This window comes from Homo sapiens, chromosome 8, assembly GCF_000001405.40.
Source record: "Homo sapiens chromosome 8, GRCh38.p14 Primary Assembly".
Taxonomy (NCBI): Eukaryota; Metazoa; Chordata; class Mammalia; order Primates; family Hominidae; genus Homo; species Homo sapiens.
This window is the reverse complement of record NC_000008.11, coordinates 124,692,517-124,712,078: the sequence shown is the minus strand read 5'-3', so window position 1 is coordinate 124,712,078 and position 19,562 is coordinate 124,692,517. Positions and strand designations below refer to the sequence as shown.

At 44.4% G+C, this 19,562-nt stretch overlaps 1 protein-coding gene across 31 annotated transcripts in view; it reads left to right on the top strand.

The window, feature by feature from the left end:
• Positions 1-19,562, top strand: part of MTSS1 (MTSS I-BAR domain containing 1) — a 177,690-nt gene that overhangs the window by 16,395 nt on the left and 141,733 nt on the right. For all 31 annotated transcript variants that reach the window (XM_047422493.1, NM_001363301.2, XM_047422490.1 and 28 more), the window contains exons 2-3: positions 7,888-7,949; positions 12,480-12,553. In XM_047422493.1, the coding sequence (XP_047278449.1) occupies positions 7,888-7,949; positions 12,480-12,553 (136 nt within the window). The remainder of the gene's footprint in view (positions 1-7,887; positions 7,950-12,479; positions 12,554-19,562) is intronic.

Here is a 19,562-nt window from a genome sequence, read left to right as displayed (position 1 = left end):
ATTTCTACCAGGCATTTTTCTACCCACTCTTTGTTGTGTGTTTCATGTTTTCTTCCTTTTTTTTTTTTTTTCTGAGACAGTCTCGCTCTGTCACCTAGGCTGGAGTGCAGTGGCGTGATCTCGGCTCATTGTAACCTCTGCCTCCTGGGCTTTAGCGATTTTCATGCCTTAGCCTCCTGAGTAACTGGGATTGCAGACGTGTGCTACCATGCTGCACTAATTTTTTGCATTTTTAGTAGAGACAGGGTTTTGTCATGTTCCCCAGGCTGGTCTCGAACTCCTGAGCTCAGGTGATCCATCTGCCTCAGCCTTCCAAAGTGCTAGGATTATAGGAGTGAGGCACTGCGCCCAGCCTCGTGCTTTCTTTTTCATGTGGTTGGGGGTCCTGACCATTTCCAGGGTGGTATTACAATCCCTCTGGGCCATCTGCAGTTGTAATCAGGTGCCATGTGTGCAGGGCACCCTTGTCCTCTTCTGCTCTACCTTGTCTGGGCTCTTATAGGACCCACATGTAAAGCGCGACCCAACCTGCTGTCTAAGCCACTCTTTGCAGCCCTGGGGCTGGGCTGGGCTGGAGGCTGGCTCTGTTCATGTGGTTACTTGCACTTCCCAGAATCAGGGAACACTTGGGCTGCAAAGTCAGATCTGGCATCCTATTGCAACCTGGAGCTCTCTGCTCCAACCTCTCTGGGCATCAGTTTCCTCAGCTCTAAAATAACAGCAGCACCTGCCTGCCTGGGCTGCTGTGAGCATGCAGTGAGAATGCAGGATCAAGCTGGGCTCCTTAGAGAGTGGTCTGTGGACCAGGAGCAGCAGCACCTCAGATTAAACGGCCCCACCTCCACCAAGCAAATCAGAACCTGCCTGTCTGCAAGCTCCCCAGATGATGGATATGTAAATTACAGCTTGGGAAGGGCCAGTATATATACCTGGCACCTGGCAACTCTTTAGAAAGTGGTGATGCTTCATGATGATGGTGATGACAGTGATGCTTGTCAAGGTGAACAGAGATACTTGGGAAGTTACCTGGCTGGTCATATACCCCACGGCTTGATTTCTCAGCCAGATCCACTGGTGAGCCAGCCTCTGTCTGGCACCTTTTGGGCAGAACAAAGGCCTTTGAGCTGGAACCCCACTCTCTAGAGCCTCTGCCCTCCTGGTTCCTACTTGATTCTCCCCTGAACTGAATTCTTCCTCCTCACGTAAGTCCTCCCCAGCTCTGTGGCTCCTCCCAAGTTGCCCTTTCTCTGGCAGTTCCCGGCCCCTGTGTTCCTTGTGTGGCAGCGTGGTGTTGAATTCCCTCAGCTGTCCCAGTGGCGCTGGGCTGGGAGAGGCAGTTGCTGCATTATTTATGGAGCACCGGTCACCAGCCGTGCTGATGAGCTACACACAGTTATTCTCTGCACCATGTGTGGGATGCCGTCCTGGGCCTCTGTTCAATAGGAAACAAAACGAAGCCAAACAACCCTAAGCCAGAATGGCTGTTGGCCGATTGCTGTGCCTTGCTTTGTGTTAGGCAAATGGCCTGCCATGGGTCCTGGCTCTAGGGAAAGTGGAGGAAGAGGAGGAAGATGAGGAGAGGCACTCGGCGGTGTCTCCTAAGCTCCACTTTGAGGGTGGGGTGGGGGAGACCAACTTGTGGATTTGTTTAGGTGGCCACCAAACTCTTCAGTTGAAGGAGATTTAGGAGGCCTTTTTCCTAAAAACTAAGAAAATGACTTCATTATTTTCCTCTCTCTCCCAGGAACTAGAGTGATGCCAGGTATGTGACCATTAGCCAGGTTCTCCCATCACCTGTCTGGTCTGGAATTTATGTCACTCACTGTCTGAATGAAGGCCACCCCGGTCTTCCTCACCTGTCCCAAGTCCCCACCCTGGGTCTTGCCCTGGAAGGCTGCCCTTGCCCACCTGGGCCACTTCGCCCATGTCCTGCCTGGAGGAGTGGCCAGCATAAATGTGTCACTCCAGTGTCCCTTGGAGAGAGCTGGTCAGTGTTCCCTGCCTCCTTTTGTGTCAGCTGCACCCCCTACCAGAAGTACTTTTCCTTCCTCCCTTCATTTCTCAGTCCTTGTTCCACAGTCCAAAGGGGAAGCCCTCAGGCTTATAGACAGCAAACTGTATGATGTGATAAGTTGGGGAGTAGGTGCAGCTAAACCAGAGGGTAGGTGGGAAGGGGGTGTGTCAGAGAATGTTCCAGAAGAAGTGTCACAGCTGGGTAGTGACAGCTGAATAGGAGTTTTCAATATTGCTGAATCCCCCTGGAGATTTGAAGAGAAGCAGCCACAGGGTGTGGTGTGTGTGGGGAGTGTGGGTGAGATCACGTGTTCAGGGAAGCCCCATCTCTCACCCAAGGAAGTGATGGAGGGAGTCCTCTTTACACGCTTGTAAACAAACTGGCTTTCTCTTCCCGTTTCTTTAATAGGGACCTTTTCCTTTCTTAGAACCCAGTGTAATCTGAGTTGTATTTTCAACGAACGCACTGCCAAGGGCTCCAGAAACTCCTGGCTCTCCTCTCTGAAGAAATTCAGGGGGCTCCTGGAGGAGGTGCGCCTTCTCATTTTGCCTTGTGACTTTGGACTTGGCAGAAGCCGGGGCGTGGCGGGAGTTTTGTTTTCTTTGATTTGGGTCTGTCTGGAACGTTGTGAAGCCTTTATGTGTTCTCAGGTGAAATCCACAGTGGGGTCTGTGTTGAATTGTTTTCACGGCTCTGGGAGTGCATTCCGAGGGATTTCCTCAAATGGGGACAGAGCTCAGCCAGCAACCTCAGGAATGAACTTTCTGGGGACTTCTTGGTGGGTGGATGCAGATGCAAAAACCAAGGACAGTTGGGGAATTGCTTTCTAAAGGGCTCTAAGAGCTTCCAGTGTCTTGGGTTGCGGGTTTCTTTTGAAACTTGAGTATGGTCTCCTTTATGTAGTCTTGCTGTCCAAAAGGCAGGACTTTTTCTCTGCTGCCTTTCAATCTTTCTAGTTACCTTCTTCCTCCTTTCTTACTTCCTCTAAGCTTGAATTATTATAGTAAAACTGCTCTCAGGTGGGTAGAAACTTCTTTTTTCCTTGAAAGAAACTTACAAAAATATCTGGAACAACCCAACATCACTTTGCCTTTAAATTTTAATGACATTTACTCACTTTTTTTTTTTTTCATTTCTCAACAAGGAGGTTTTTGTCTTCTGTTCTTAGAAGTTGATTTTTTTTCTTTTTTTAGAATCTATTAAATTATATATTGCCTAAAACAGGTGGGCCTGACTCTCTCTGATAGACTGTCAAGTGTCATTAAGTCAGCAGCAAGCTACTTTGGGCAACCTTCTGGCTGGGTGGATGTTCGTAGGTGGGGAGCTGTTAGCTGTACCCCTTGACTAGAAAGGGGACCCCTCCTTTTGTTGCTAATTTGGTAAAGACTGAAATGACGCTCCAAGTGGGGGCAGATAAGAAGTTTCTTCAGTGGTTTGAGTAGTCGTCTTTTTCAGGCACACTCATCTCAGGGTTGAGTACTCCACCCTGCCATTTGCTTAGCAGCAGCAGAGAAATTGTCTGGCACTGAACACCCAGCTGCCTTTGCCTTGGTCTGTTTCTGCCTAACCCTGGTTTACTAATAGGGAGATGCAGATGCTTCCCATGTTGGCTGGTTCCACACCAGGTACTCTAAAAGGGGGGTTCCAGTCTGGATGGACAGTCTGACTTAGACTTTACAGTCTGTCCCCCACACATCCTAAAGGAGATTACTGAGAGCCTGTGGCCACTTGGATCCCTCATATCAAATGTTTGTTGAGCACTTCCAGTGTGCTGGGCACTGCACCGAGCACTTTCTGTATATGACCTCATTCGTTCCTCCTCTCAGCCCTGTGAAGATGTGACTTAAACCCATGCAGAGGTCAAATAACTTGCCCAGTGTCGCATAGCAAATGGGAGAGCTAAGGTTCAATCCAAGAGATTGGGCTTCTGTACGTGCAATCTTTATTCATCTCCTTCATTCTTTCAATGTTCAATAATTGATGGTATTGGTAATGGTGATGGAATTATTTGTTTTGGTTATCATCATTATAAGGGAATGATCCCTGAGAAGTGAAATGATTTCCCCTAGTCCATGACTGGCAGGGCTGTGACTAGACCTCAGGACCCAGTGCTCCCTGCCCAGGCCACTGGCCAGTTCTGCATGTTCTCGATGAACATGCCTCACCTTTTCCTTTGGCTTTGTTTCTTTGAGACAGGGTCTTGCTCTGTTGCCCAGGCTGGAGTGCGGTGGCACAATCACAGCTCACTGCAGCTTCGATCTCCCGGGCTCAAGGGATTCTCCCACCTCAGCCTCCTGAGTAGCTAGGACTACAGGCATGTGCCACAGCACCCAGCTAGGTTTTTTTTTTTTTCTTTTGAGATGGAGTCTCGCTCTTTCGCCTAGGCTGGAGTGCAGTGGTGCGATCTCGGCTCAATGCAACCTCCACTTTCCGGGTTCAAGCAATTCTCTGCTTCAGCCTCCCGAGTAGCTGGGATTACAGGTGCCTGCTACCACGCCCAGCTAATTTTTGTATTTTTAGTAGAGATGGGTTTCACCATCTTGGCCAGGCTGGTCTTGAACTCCTGACCTCCTCATCCACCTGCCTCCTAAAATGCTGGGATTACAGGCGTGAGCTACCGTGCCTGGCCTGGTGTTTTTTTTTTGTTTGTTTGTTTGTTTGTTTTTTTTTTTGTATTTTTAGTAGAAATGGGGTCTCGCCATGTTGTCTGGGCTGGTCTTGAACTCCTGGGCTCAAGTGATCCTCCTGCCTCAGCTTCCCAAAGTGCTAGGATTACAGGTGTGAGCCACTGCCCCTGGCCCACCTTTTTCTTAAGAAATACTTTGATCGTCTTAATAATATTTCTCCAGGGCTCCCTGGATGGGAGTGTTTGGTGTTTGGGAGAGGAGGGTCTGGCTCTTTGGTCCTTCTTCCTTGTGTAGCCGAGAGATGGTGGCACCTTTGCCTAGAAGTAGGTGAGCAGTGTTTCTGAATGCTCAGATTTCTCAGAAAGCTTTTCATCGTGTCTTGTGGCTCAGAAAGAGAAGGAATGGTCGGACGAAGCTGCTATTGGTTGGTTGAGCCTTTGTGTTCTTAGAGGTGCCAACTGCTGTCCCTCTGGACAGAGATCTCCAGTGGCCATCCTGAGGACTCTGATCTTGGCCCTCATCTCTTTAATTGGATGTAGGTGTACAAGGGGTGTTCTTATCTGGACTGGATTAAAAAAATGGTATGTATGTTGGGTGTCATAATTGGAGTCCCCACTATGTCTTGATGGGCCTTGAATGATAGCCTGAGCTCTCACAAGTTTTCATTTGACATAAATTAATATACAGTTCTGCTCTTGGGTGGAAGTAACCCCCAGGGCACACACTTGGGATGGAGGTCATGTCGTGACAAGACCCTCACACAGGTGTTGGTTGACAGTAGCTCAGGTGTAGCTGCCAAAGGGCCTCTGCCAGGAGCCAGCCAGACACGATTCTTGCCCGGCTGTTGCTTAGTTTCCCATAGGGGCAAATTGCCACTTAGAGGAATAAATCCAGAAACCTGTGCTTGAGCCAAGCAGGTCTCCAATGCATGAAGGCAGAACTGATGAATGTGGTGTAGCAGCATGCGTGAAACAGACTTTAGAGTTCGGGTGGATTGTAAATTCATGGTGCTGTTGTTGCCAGAACCTCTAATTTGATCTTACGTTTTAAAAAATGCAATGACTTTATTGTTTTCATTAAAATGATACATGACCCTTATAAAGAAAACTCACAAGACTCCAGCCATAAAGGAAAGTACAAAGGAGAAAGCAATACATTGGTCCAGATTTTAACTCCCAGAAGTAACCCGTATTAATATTTTATAGACAACTTTCCAGATATCTCTTATGTACATTTTCAGACAGAATTGACAGCTAGGGAAGTATATAAATAGACGATTCTATAACAAGGTGTTCCTTGTTATAATGAGTGCTCCTTGTTATAATGAGTGCTATGCATGATCTTTTGAAAAAATATACTTAATTGTACTTTCATTTAACAGAAGAAAATGAAACTGAAGTAATACTGTAATTGTTTCTTCACCACTTTCTTTAAGTTGATTTCTCAGATGTGCCTTTAAGGCAGTGGTTCTTGACTGGGCGTGATTTTTGTCCCCTAGGGGCCATCTGGCAATGTCCCATTTTTGGTTGTCCCAAATAGGGGGTGGGGGAACGCTGGCATCTAGTGAATGGAAGATAGCGATACTGCTAAACATCTTAAATGTGCAGGACAGCCCCCCACGACAAAGAATTATCTGGCCTCAAATGTCCATAGTGTTGAGGCTGAGAACCTGCTCTAAGGGTAAGAAAAAATGATGTTTAATACCATTAGGAAGGTAAAACTGTTAATGTTTTAGCTGGGTTGCAGTTTTAGACAGTTTTAATTGGGCTTCTGTCATGAAAGATGAGTTGATTAACCTCATTATAATTTTTTCCTCCTTTCCTGAACAAGAAAATCAAGAGGTAGCATATGTTGTTTTTACCTTGTCAGGGTTCATAACATTTACGCTCTGTTCTGCAAAAATAATCCCCAGGTGTTTAGTCTTAGTTTTGTTTTGTTTTATTTTATTTTATATTATTTTATTTTTTGAGACGGAGTGTTGCTCTGTTGCCCAGTCTGGAGTGCAGTGGTGCGATCTCAGCTCACCGTAACCTCCATCTCCCAGGCTCAAGTGATTCTCATGCCTCAGCCTCCTGAGTAGCTGGGACTACAAGCATGCGCCACCATGCCTGGCTAATTTTTGTATTTTTAGTAGAGATGGGGATTCACCACGTTGGCCAGGCTGATCTCGATCTCCTGGCCTCAAGATGTCTGCCCACCTTGGCCTCCCAAAGTGCTGGAATTACAGCTGTGAGCCATGGCGCCCGGCCCTTAGTTCTGTACTTAAATGATCAATGCCAAATACCACTTCTCAGCCCATTGTTTCCCCCTTTCTGTGTTGATTTTGAGTCACCTCTTGGTTGGTGGGCTGTGTGATCTTAATATAAATTTAACATGTGTAGGAAGGGAGACGTCGGTCCCTGCCTGCTTTGCCCTGTCAGACTTGCACCTGCAGATTTGAGTTTGTGTCTATGCACCACACTTAGAGGAAGAGTAGAGAGACACGCTGAGTGTCTCTGGGATGCAGTCAGGGTGTGAAGCAGGGTCCCGGGGAGAAGTGGGGTTGGATGTGAAACTGGATTTTGAAAAGACTTCCATGTGGAAGCAGGATTATTGATCTTAACTGAGGGCTCCCAGAGGTTAGAACTAGAACTACATGAACATCAAGGACAGGGTGGCTGATAATAGGCTGGGAAGGTGATGAGTTCCCTGTTAGCCGAAGTGTGTTGGGGAACCACCTGTTGCTATACTGTCCCTAGGTGTTGGGCTTAAGCCATCAGCTGAGCTGCTGCATTAGGTAATTTTTCAATCTTGAGATTCTGATAGTCTAATTAATGCTTTCTGTAACCACCTGTCCTGGGGAAGAGCCCCAGTCACTCTGGTTCCCTGCTTGGTGTTGTTTGGGGCAAGTGGGAGAACAGCCAGGGCCATGTTTCATGAACAAGTGGTTCAGGGTGGAGCTTTAAATGTTCTGTACACCTTAAATTTGGACCCACCATCTACCAACTCAAAAGTGTATGTGTCAGATTCTGCCAAACTAGTTCAGTTGATGTTTGTAGTATTTACAAGATTATAGGAACTGAGCACATTCTAAACTGATTCCTGAGCCAATACATGTATATAGAATCCGGGAAACGTATTGCAGACCTGCAAAGGAAGAGAACATACACAGATTGTTCCCTGCATGATTGGAATTGGGTGCTCTGTTAATGTAGTAATCAGATGTCTATCGCAGTGTGACTTACTGATGTCTTTGATGTGTTGCAGGGGAGCTATCCAGTTTGGGAAGATTTCATAAACAAAGCAGGAAAGCTGCAGTCCCAGCTTCGGTAAGTAGAAGCACATGTTCTACAGGAAAAGGACAACATCCTCAGACAAGGATGGAGTGGGACAGACCAAAATGCAGATTGATTAGGGTTGATTCAGGAAGTGCTGCAGATAGGGAAGCCTGTGCTGGGTTCTGATTGGAGCATGATCACCTATAGCCATATATCCTGGGCCCTGATTGCCATATGTAAAATGGGACTCATTCATGTCTGCTTTCCTCCTTCCATAGGAATTTTGAGAGTCAAATGAGGTAGGTACTGTATGTAAGGTAGCAACGGGTAACATTTATGTATTGCTCACTATGTGCCAGGCATTTGTTAACTTGTTTAAATCTCATAACCCCACAAGGTACATACCATTATTATCCCCATTTTACTGATGAGGAAACTGAGGCACAGCGAAGTTAAATAACTTATCCATAGTCACATCACTACTAAATGGCAGAGCAAGGATTTGAACTTAGGCTCTCTGGCTCCAGAGTCCATGTTCTCCTCCATTCTGCTTACTGCCTCTCCACAAATAGAGTTTAAAACCTCCTGTTGGCTGGGTGTGGTGGCTCACACCTGTAATCCCAGTACTTTGGGAGGCCCAGGCAGGCAGATCACAAGGTCAGGAGTTCAAGACCAGTCTGGCCAACATGGCGAAATCCCATCTCTACTAAAAATACAAAAATTAGCTGGGCATGGTGACGAGTGCCTGTAATCCCAGCTACTTGGGAGGCTGAGACAGGAGAATCGCTTGAATACAGGAGGTAGAGGTTGCAGTGAGCCGAGATTGTGCCATTGCACTCTAGCCTGGGCGACAAGAGCAAGAGTCCACCTCAAAAGAAAATAATAATAATAAAATAAAATAAAACCTTGTGTTGACTATTGTATAATTCCATTTACATGAACTATCTAGCAAAAGCATATCTTTAGAGAGATGTTGATCATTGGTTGCTTGGGGATAGGGTGAAAAAGGAGAGTGAGAAGTGGGTAAGACAGATCTTTTGGGGTGGTGGAAATGTTCTAAAATTGGATTGCGGTGATGATTGTGCAACTCCAAATTTACTAAAAATCATTGACTCATACCCTGAAAAAGGGTGTATTTTATGGTATGTAAATTATGCCTCCGTAAAGCTGCCTAAACAAGATCCAGTGCTGAGCTCTAAGGGGCTGTGATTGCCTAGTCTCGTGCTTGTTCATATATCATGTGATATGAAATAGAAAATACGTTGGCATCTTCTTATTAAAGCTCTACCCTTTTAAATCATTGTGGTGAAGGGATACAATTTCACTTAGTGGGTGCTTCATGAAGGATAGGACATTTTAAAAAGGAATTATTTTGATGGCCCTGGTTCATGGCATGTAGGGGATGTCATTGGTTGGTTTGGATGGAGGAAGATGGTTCAGAGAGCGGGGCAGGCAGGGGTTTTCCAGGATAAAGAGCCATGTGGACGACAGAGAGGTGGGAGAGGGATGATGTGATGCTCTCGGGCCTTTGCCTGTGGACACCAGGGGTCACTGCCCAGAGTGTTAGCCATAGGACTAGAGTGTCCATGGTGCCCTATAGACTAAAGAACTTGGGAAAGGTGGGCCTTTTTTCTTTCATTCCTTCAGCTTTGTTTGGAGCCTGGGATTTCCATCCATGAACTGCAGCCTCAGATGGACAGTGAACTTGGAATACTGCACCTTCCCCAGTTGTCAAGTCCTGTACTTAAGCCCTGCTTAAGCTCTTGTAATTACTTTCTACTGGATCAGATCCCACCTCCCCTGCTCAGGATTCAGGGCTCCTCACCTGAGTCCTTCACCAGCCTCACCTTATTTAGCCATATCTACTCCCACCTCCATGTCTGCCATGATTACCATTTATTTTAGGTAGCTTCATCTTTATCCTGTGGGAGGTCTCCTCCTATAGTAATACAGTAAAACATTTAAGTACATTTCCCCTACTTTTTTAAGATTCAGCCTCATTTAACCGTCTGGCAGTCTTTCAGAGTAGACCAAGAAAATTGTTATCTTCCCCTTTTATCAGTGAGGATCTTGAAGCTTAAAGTAATGAACAGATCAGCTGTCTTAAACATATAAAGTAAAATTTAAAGTAATCTTAACCTGTCCTTACTGGTACAGGATACATTTTATATTATTAAACAATGTTTTGTCCTGAAGGCAGGGACCATTTCTTTATTATTTTGTTAAACTAATAGTACAGGGCTGAGAGCAATATAGGGGCCTCATGCACATAGTTTAATTTTGTGTGTTAGAGAAAGGATGAAGTTTAGATTGCAGAAGAGGCATAGAAGCCTTAGTTTATTTAAGCTGAATCACTCCTCTGTGTTTCTGTTGGTTACAAGTTTGCTCTGCCCCATCAAAGAGGGCCAAGATGTCTTGTGACTACAGCGGACAGTGAAATATGACTGCCATTTAAAAGCCTCAAACTTGATCACCCGCCTAATTTTCAGTGGAGCCCTGGTGACTGTGTAATATGCAAGACACCTCTGCAGCTGGTTCATTAAATTTGGATGATTGGCATTGAGTTGGATGAGAATAAATCCAGCCATTGTGTCAGATATTAATTGTAAATCAGAACAAGCTATTTATAAGTCCCAAGAAGTTTGATAAAGCTAATTTTTCCAGGGTTTGTGTTTGATGTCAACTCTTTAAAAAATATGCTTCAAAGTGGTTTTGTGTACATGTATGTCATTATTTTTAAAAATTTTGAGCAGAATGTTTTCTTGCCCTACTGGAAAATAACAGGCCTCATTTTGAAGTTTGGCTGTAAGGGACTGTTGCCTAGATTTTCCCAGGAACTACTTCCAGCACCTTGCAGGAACCTTTTGTTTCAAAACTACTGTTGCTGATGTTTAAAGGCCATTCCTTTCCCTTTTTCTTTCTTTTTTCTTTTCTCTTTCTTTTTGAGAGAGGGTATTGCTCTGTCACCTAGGCTGGAGTACAGTAGTGCAGCCATGGCTCACTGCACCCTTGACCTCCTGGGCTCAAGTGGTCATCCCGTCTCAGCCTCCTGAGTAGCTGGGACTACAGGCATGCACCACTGTGCCCGGCTAATTTAAAAACAATTTTTTTGTGTGTAGAGAATGGAGTCTTAGTATGTTGCCCAGGCTGGTCTCAAACTCCTGAGCTCAAGTGATCCTCCCACCTCAGCTTTCCAAAGTGCTGGGATTACAGGATGAGCCACTACAGCTGGTTTCATTTTTCTCTATTTTGAAATCTTCCCTTTCTAGTCCTTATTGTTATTCTTCTTCAGCAACTTTGCATCCTTAGGAACGCTCAGTAAAGGCTGAGTTATATAAGAAATACTTGAAAATTAACACTTAGTTACAAGTTTGATTGTAAAGTCCTTGAATTCTAGTTCTGGGGCTTGTTTGTGTGGAATCCATGGCCCTGGCTTGGAGTGTTGACTACGCTGAATGATGCCTTAGGTCATGACTCTTGGAACCAGTAGACCACAGAGGGCTCAAGGCATCCTATGGTGTCCAAAAAAATATTAAGAACCCAGAATAATTTCTAGGACATAAGTGACTATAGTACCTTCTCCCCATTCTCACCTTGTAGGAATTTGGAAGATTCAGTTGAAATAGTGTCCTAAGGTTGAAACAGTAGTATCTCAGTTTCATTATAACTAGGATCTAGGGAGAAAAGTCACACTGCCAGGATCTTGTCTTATAGTGGGTCAAGCCCAAGCCTGTGAGTCATGAGGCTGGGATACTTGTCCCAGCTCTAGTATGAACTAGGGCTATGTTTGTGGCCTCGTATTTGTGGCCTCAGTTCTCCTATTCCTAAAATGAATTGTTTGAACTACATGATCTTTCTACCAGATTCCTTCCCCCAACTGATGTGCATATATATATATTGCTTTCCTACTCCAAAATTAATTTCACCTCTACCACTTATATTTTTTAATGTTTTATTTTTCCTTTTAGGTAGAAATGCCTCTGTTTTCCTCCTGTATAAAACTTTGCCTGGTAGTAGGTGTTTCTTTTTTCTTTTTTTTTTTGAGGCAGAGTCTTGCTCTGTCACCTAGGCTGGAGTGCAGTGGTGCGATCTTGGCTCACCGCAACCTCTGCCTCCTGGTCTCAAGCGATTCTTCTGCCTCAGCCTCCCAAGTAGCTGGGATTATAGGTGCATACCACCACGCCTGGCTAATTTTTTGTAGACACGGGGTTTCACCATCTTGGCCAGGTTGGTCTCGAACTCTTGATCTCAAGTGATCCACCCACCTCAGCCTCCCAAAGTGCCAGGAATACAGGCGTGAGCCACCATGCCTGGCCCTGGTAATGGTTTTATACAGTCAGATGAAATGGAATGGGAAGGGCTACTAGCATTTATTGATTAGCACCGAATGAGCTGGATATTATTCGGGTGGAGTACTTGGAAAAAAGTGGGTTCAGCAAGACAGTGGTTGTCCATGCTCAGTTGAGTTATTTCTGGAGGAAGGTTACATGTACTCCTTAGCAGAGGTTTTAGGCCTTGAGCTGTAATGAATTTGCTAGGGAGAGACATTCCTTATGCTTTTGTTATCTGTTTGCATTTTAGGACAACAGTAGTAGCAGCAGCTGCCTTCTTGGACGCCTTTCAGAAAGTGGCTGACATGGCCACCAACACACGTGGTAAGCAGATGGAGGCTGACTCCCAGTGTTAACTGCATTCTGCACGTGGACTCTTCCCCTTGGGTGGCTGCACAAGAAGATGCAGCTTAAGTTATCAGAGCTGAGCTGACTCGTATTTTCCCATTTTTTAAAACTCTGTGGGATTCCACATATTAGAAGTTGCAACTAGTTTTCTGGATAATAAAGCACATGTGAAGAAGAATGAAAAAGGAAGAAAATGAACCACTGTTTCTGCACGAGTTGGCTTGATGGGTTCTTTGATCACTTTAATGACGTGCTGGTTGTTGAACCTTGAGCTGTGCCTTTGGTTGCAATTTGCGTTTTCCTCCTTACGTGGGTTTTCCTTGTTTCCTTGTGGAATGGGAAGCAGTAGGGATGATTGGATAGACCATTTTTCTGAGTTTCCATAAAATGAAGAACCCTTTTAAAATAAGGATCTCATTGGGTTGTATCTATTTATGCGTCCCTCATATTTGACTGCAAACCTGTTGAGATACAGACTATGACTTATTCATGTCTGAAGCCCCAAAACGTAGTGCCTAGAACATAGGAGATGTTTAAAGTATGTTTATTAAATCAATGAAAAAAATTTAATGGCTTCAGCAAGTACTGAATCATATAAAAGTTATTCATAACATGTGAAAAGTATAAAAAGAAAATGAATACCCCCGTATGCCTGACCGTCTTTAGAAATGCAACATTATGGTCAGGCGCGGTGGGTCATGCCTGTAATCCCAGCACTTTGGGAGGCCAAGGCAAGAGATCCGAGGTGGATCACTTGAGGTCAGGAGTTTGAGACCAGCCTGGCCAACATGGCGAAACCCCATGTCTACTAAAAATACAAAAATTAGCCAGGCGTGGTGGCACGTGCCTGTAATTCCAGCTATTTGGGAGGCTGAGGCATGACAGTTGCTTGAATCCGGGAGGCAGAGGTTGCAGTGAGCCCAGATCGCGCCACTGCACTCCAGCCTGGGCAACGGTGAGTTGGGACTCTGTCTCAAAAAAAAAAAAAAAAAAAAGAAAAGCAACACATGCAACATTACCAGTAACAGACAATTACCCTATTCAAAGGGAGGAGGGTGATTTCCTTTTCATTGCAATGCAGCTACTCTCTTCTGCCTCTTACTTTGCCTTGTCTTTCTGGGTCTTCTTGTTGTACTGGCAGCTATAGGCCTGTTCTTTTCATTGTCGTGGTGACATTGGAAAATTTGGGTTGTAGGGCAAGTGTTGGGGACTGCTCCCAGGCACATGAAAGTTTCTCCGAACCACCTGATGGGTACCTTCAGTGCAATGATACTCATTCATCACAGGTGCTTAAAAGTATTTGAATGAATTTGCAGCAAGAACCCTTCTCATTCATTGAACAAACTCCTTTTATTTCAGGCACTATCATGGGACCACAAAAAGCAATATGACTCTCCTTGTCCTGGAGCGGCTTACAATTGAGTGGGGAAAATGAGAAGTATAAATAAAGAATTTCAACATAGAAACTATATGTTTGGTATGGTAATAGTTGTAGAACAAAGTGCTAGGGGAATATAGAAAAGTGAGCAATTAACTCAGGGAGTGAAGGAGTTTTTCCTAGGGGAGGTAATATTTCTCCTCATTTCCGGGATGCCAGCAGGGTTTTACAGCATTCCCTTGGAGAATGTGACACAGAAACTAGAAGCATGGTTTCTTCATCCAGTATGTCAGCTTGGTGTGGATCTTAACCAGTATCTTTTTAAAAGTCCTTTAAAAAAATTACTCCATAGCTTATGTGTGTCTGTTATAGAAACTTGAGAAAATACAACCGTAGAGAAGAACTTAATATGCAAACCATTGCAGGGCCTATAGTATTGCATTTTATATTTTCTTCTACTTCAGCAGTATCTGGAACTGGACTTGGCAGCCATATTTTTATCTTTCTGTAATAGCCATCAGTATAGGGTTTTTTTTTTGTTTGTTTGTTTTTTGTTTTTTTTTGAGACAGAATCTCGCTCTGTCTCTCAGACTGGAGTGCAATGGCGCAATCTTGGCTCACTGCAACCTCTGCCTCCCCACATTCAAGCAATTCTCCTGCCTCAGCCTCCCGTGTAGCTGGGATTACAGGCATGTGCCACCACGCCCGACTAATTTTTGTATTTTTAGTAGAGATGGGGTTTCACCATGTTAGCCAGGCTAGTCTCCAACTCCTTACCTCAGGTGATCTGCCCGCCTCAGCCTCCCATAGTGCTGGGATTACAGGCGTGAGCCACCGTGCCTGGCCCAGAATATGTCTTTTTTTTTTTTTAAGCTGCTCTACTGTTTTAAGGAACTTAGATATCTGGCATTGCATGTTTGAGGCTCTGTGATAATAATGTTTTTATATTTTAATGTTTAATTCTTGGATGGATCCTGTAGATGGACTGGAAAGAGATTCCCAGATTGTCCATAAGTTCCTGTAGTGGGAACCTGGGATTCTGAAGATGCTGCTCCCAGAATGGTTCTTGGCGGGACACTGCAGGGCCTGGAAATTGTCATCTTTGAAGGGAAGAAAAACAGCCATTATTTGTGCAAAAAGAAACCAAAGAGCCTCACTGCAGAAGTGATGGGGGTAGAGTAGGAGTTTGGAGGTGATGTATTTCACCAAAGGCAAATAATCTCATAGTGAACAAACTCCTGCTTTGACATTTTTTTTTCTTTTTTTTTTTTTGAGACGGACTCTTGCTCTTGTCACCCAGGCTGGAATGCAGTGGCACAATCTCAGCTCACTGCAACCTTCCCCTCTAGGGTTCAAGTGATTCTCCTGCCTCAGCCTCCCAAGTAGCTGGGATTACAGGCGCCCACCATCACGCCCAGCTAATTTTTGTATTTTTAGTAGAGACAGGGTTTCGTCATGTTGGCCAGACTGGTCTCGAACTCCTGACCTCATGATCTACCTGCCTCGGCCTTCCAAAGTACTGGGATTACAGGCGGGAGCCACCGCATCTGGCTGCTTTGACATATTTTTAGACCATGGGATTTCAGATCATTTTTAGTGATGCCAGGATACTTTCTGTTTAAAATCCATACGTGCTACTATTTTCATTGAATGTGGGAGTGTGAGAACTCTCAAATAACCTAAAAGTATATGGGTGATAGAAAGAAGGTATATTTTACAGAGATAAGAGAAACTCGAATGTCCTTCTTAGTAAGTGTCAGAAGTGACTTTTATTAATTTTTACTTAAAAATTTAAAAAATAGGACATGCTCTTTAGTTTAAAAAATTGAAATAAGTAGGCTGGGCGCAGTGGCTCACACCTGTAATCCCAGCATTTGGGAGGCCGAGGCAGGTGGATTACCTGAGATCAGAAGTTCAAGACTACCCTGACCAACATGTTGAAATCCTGTCTCTACTAAAAGTATAAAAATTAGCCAGGCAGAGGAGTGGGCACCTGTAATCCCAGCTACTTGGGAGGCTGAGGCAGGAGAATCGCTTGAACTCGGGAGGTGGAGGTTGCAGTGAGCTGAGATTGCGCCACTGCACTCCAGCCTGGGTGACAGAGCAAGACTCTGTGTCCAAAAAAAAAATTGAAATAAATATATAAACTAAAATTTATCCTCCCCACTTCCCCGCCCCTCCCGGGAATTGGGTTTAGTGTCATTTACAGATGTTTTTGCATATATAAACAAACATGCTGGGAGGAAAAAAAAAAAACAACACTAGTTTTCCACAATATGTGGAATGACACATGGAATAAAATATACCTGTGTGACCTTTTTCAGAAGGTAGCCCCTAAGAAACATTGTTCTGTGCTTTTTACTGCATAGTATATTATAGTTATCTTTCCAGTACCTATAAGTCCACCTTATTCTTTCTAGCGGCCAAATGGAATTTCTGAATGTAGCACTGTCTGAATATAGCACAACTGAGTCATTATTCTCTTGATAGATATTTAGGTTATCTCCAGGTATTTGCTACTACAAGCTCTGCTGCAATTAATGCCCATGTATATATCCTTTTGGAGTCCTACAAGTGATCTATTTTTAATGATGTATGGATCACCAAGGAAATGATAATCTGTAAAAAGTGCTTCAAGCTGTTTTGGTCAGCAGCAAATAGATTTGGGCTTAGGGTTGGTGTAGGCCGTGACTCTAACAGAGTTTGTGGTTTGATATCTACCTTCTCCAGAAAGAATATCCTTGGTTACTCCCTTGCTTACAGCCTTTACATGTATTTTTTTTTTTTTATCCCTCTTGATGGAAGTGGTAGGAGGGAATTGCAGTTATCATTAAGTGCATCTCTTCTGGGCAAGTGCCCAGCATTTCAAGCTAGCAGGTCGCTCTGGTTTCCAAAATATTAGCATCTCATATTGTTTCCAAAAGGGAACAGCTCTGAGTGGTCTTTGTCCTTTATAGGAAATCTTTTGCACTAGCTATTAATAAAATTTACTTAGGAAAAACTTTGAATACTAGTCACTATAAGAGCAAAATCAATCTAGTTGTTATGTACCTATTGTTAAACAGAATGTGGAAATATGTTAGAACTTAATTGCTTTCATTTTTTTTAAATGAAAGTGTATAAGTGGATATTATAATGTGTATATTTGGGTTAATAATTAAACTATAATGGAATTTCAGTTTATTAGCACTAGGCGCAGTTCCATATTTTGTTGATTTTAGACTCTGGATGAATATACAATTTGTTTTAAATATGAAAGTACGATTTTCTGTATTATTGAACACAAAGAATTGGTTTCTAGGTATCTGGTAGACTTGGAACCCGAGGCTTTGTGGAGCAGGGTCTCTGCTTCCTTCACATCCATAATGGACCAGCACGTGGCTATTACAGGAGCTGAGAAATATTTGAACTGAGTGGCATGCATTTGTCTGGGCTACTTAAAAAAATAAGAAAAGGAAAATTAAGGAAATTAAGAAAAAGATGGTAAGTACCTACCACATAGGCTGTGGTGAGAACAAAAAGACTTAATACACATGAACCACTCAGAACAGAGCCCAGCCCATGGTACACATTCAATAAAGCCTAGCTATCCTGATTTTCAGTCTTAAAATCATGCCTACTTTTTAGGGTAACAAATTTAAGATTCTGGACATTAAAGATGATCTAGTCTGCCTGGGATCCATTTCCTTCCTTCTGAGAATCTGAAATGCCTTCCTCAGGCATTGGATGTATTACCATCTAAACTTCCCTGAGATGGTTGTTCAAAACCATGAAAGTAATTACAGAGGCAGATGAAAATGAGAGTCACACAACACTGCTCTTCAAAGGCCCTTGCTGACACAAGCAGATGGCACAGTGGCCGGGATGGGCCAGTGCTGACTAAGAGGGAGTGTGTCGTCCGCTCTGTACTCCGCGCAAGTCCCTGATGTGTAAGGGCACAGGCTTACAGGCGTACGAATTTTATTCCCCATTTTGATCCCATTTTGATTCTGAATGCATTAAAAAAAATCTGTGTAGCACAAAAAATAATCTATGTTGTTGAAATAACAAAAGTCTATATGCGGTAGTTAGAATAACAACTAGCTTGGGATCTGGGATACGTAGGTTTGACTTCGTGCCTTTGCAGCTATGTGACCTTGAGTAAATATTTCCCTTCTCTGGGCTTCCATTTTCCCACCTATAAAGGGCCTAGGAGCCTAGATCATCACAAGTAATTTTTTTTTGGCTCTAATATTCTATGATTTAAAATCTTGCCTTGGTTCTTATTAGCTATGAATGAAGTGTAAATTTCCTTTTCTATATTATCTTTAGAGCTTCCAATTTTTGCTCTGAGTACAAAGGAAGTGGAGGAAGCAAGATTAAGCCAAAGATAATGGAGAGAGAAGGTTAGAAGAGAAAAGGGAAAATTACAGATGGGCATTTGGGTTGAGGTCCCCTCTCAGACTTGGAGTGTGTGTAGGAGGAAGGCAGGTGGACGCCGGACCTTCTAGGACAGGCATCGAAGGCTGGTCCATCAGACATGCGCTTTAATCAGTGAGTCTGGATCGCCGAGGTTGGTGAAGCATGTTGGTGAAGAAAATTGCTGATGGCTTAGTTCTTACAAATGTGTTACACATTTGCAGTACAGATTTTGGTAAATGCCATGGTCTCCAGATCTGGCATTAGGCATCACAGTCACTCAAGAAGTTCACTTTAAGGGACAGATTTCAAGGCCCTGCCACTCCCATGGAATCAGAATAACTGGGTGAGACCCAGGAATCTCCAATTTTGAAAAGCTTTCCAGGAGATGTTGCTCTCCATTGAGGTATGTTTGTGCTGTCCTGTAAAGCCTCTTGCCATCTTGCCATAACCCACCTGTCCGATGACATCTCCCCACCCATGGCCGGCAACTGCACCCACAAAGAACTGCTCACTGTTTTCTGAAACCCTTAAAACCCTTGATCCCTATCTGCTGGCACATGTGCATTCCAGGCCCAGAATGTCCTTTCCAGCCCTCCCCTTCTTCACCCTGTTTGTATGCTTGAGGATCTGCTGCTTGTCTCCCAGGAGTTTAAGAGCTGTATCACTTGTGAGACCTTTGTCTTCCCTCAGGAAGTAAACTGGGTCCTTGCTCAGGGCCTCGGGGGACATGCTGGGGTCAGAGGATTCCCCTAGCTGTGCTGTCACTATCTTCCCCACCAGATTGGAGACACCTCTAACAGGACCTGCTCCTTCCTGAGGAACTCACTTTCCCAGATGCTGAGTATCTGGCCTTCAGCAGGGTGCAGACCCATCTGCTGAATGAACGACTGCGTGCAAACAGTAGCTTCCACTTTTATGCAGCCCTCATGGATCCTGGTGGGAAGCCCGTCAGTTCTCGAGCAAGGGGCTGTTGGGATGGGGTCTTGGCAGGATTCCTCCCTGGAGTTCAGAATTTGAATCTTGGTGACCCCTCCCTGAGGTCAAGTCTCTGGTGCAAAGGACAACTGGGTAGAAGGCACTCACCCTGCTTCATGGATGGAGTGGAGGAGGGGAGGGAATCTTTCCTCTGAGGGGAGAAGGTGCTGGGTTGTTTGGGTTCCCAGCTGGGTTGTTTCCTGGCTCCAGCCAGACTGCTCTTGTTTGCTC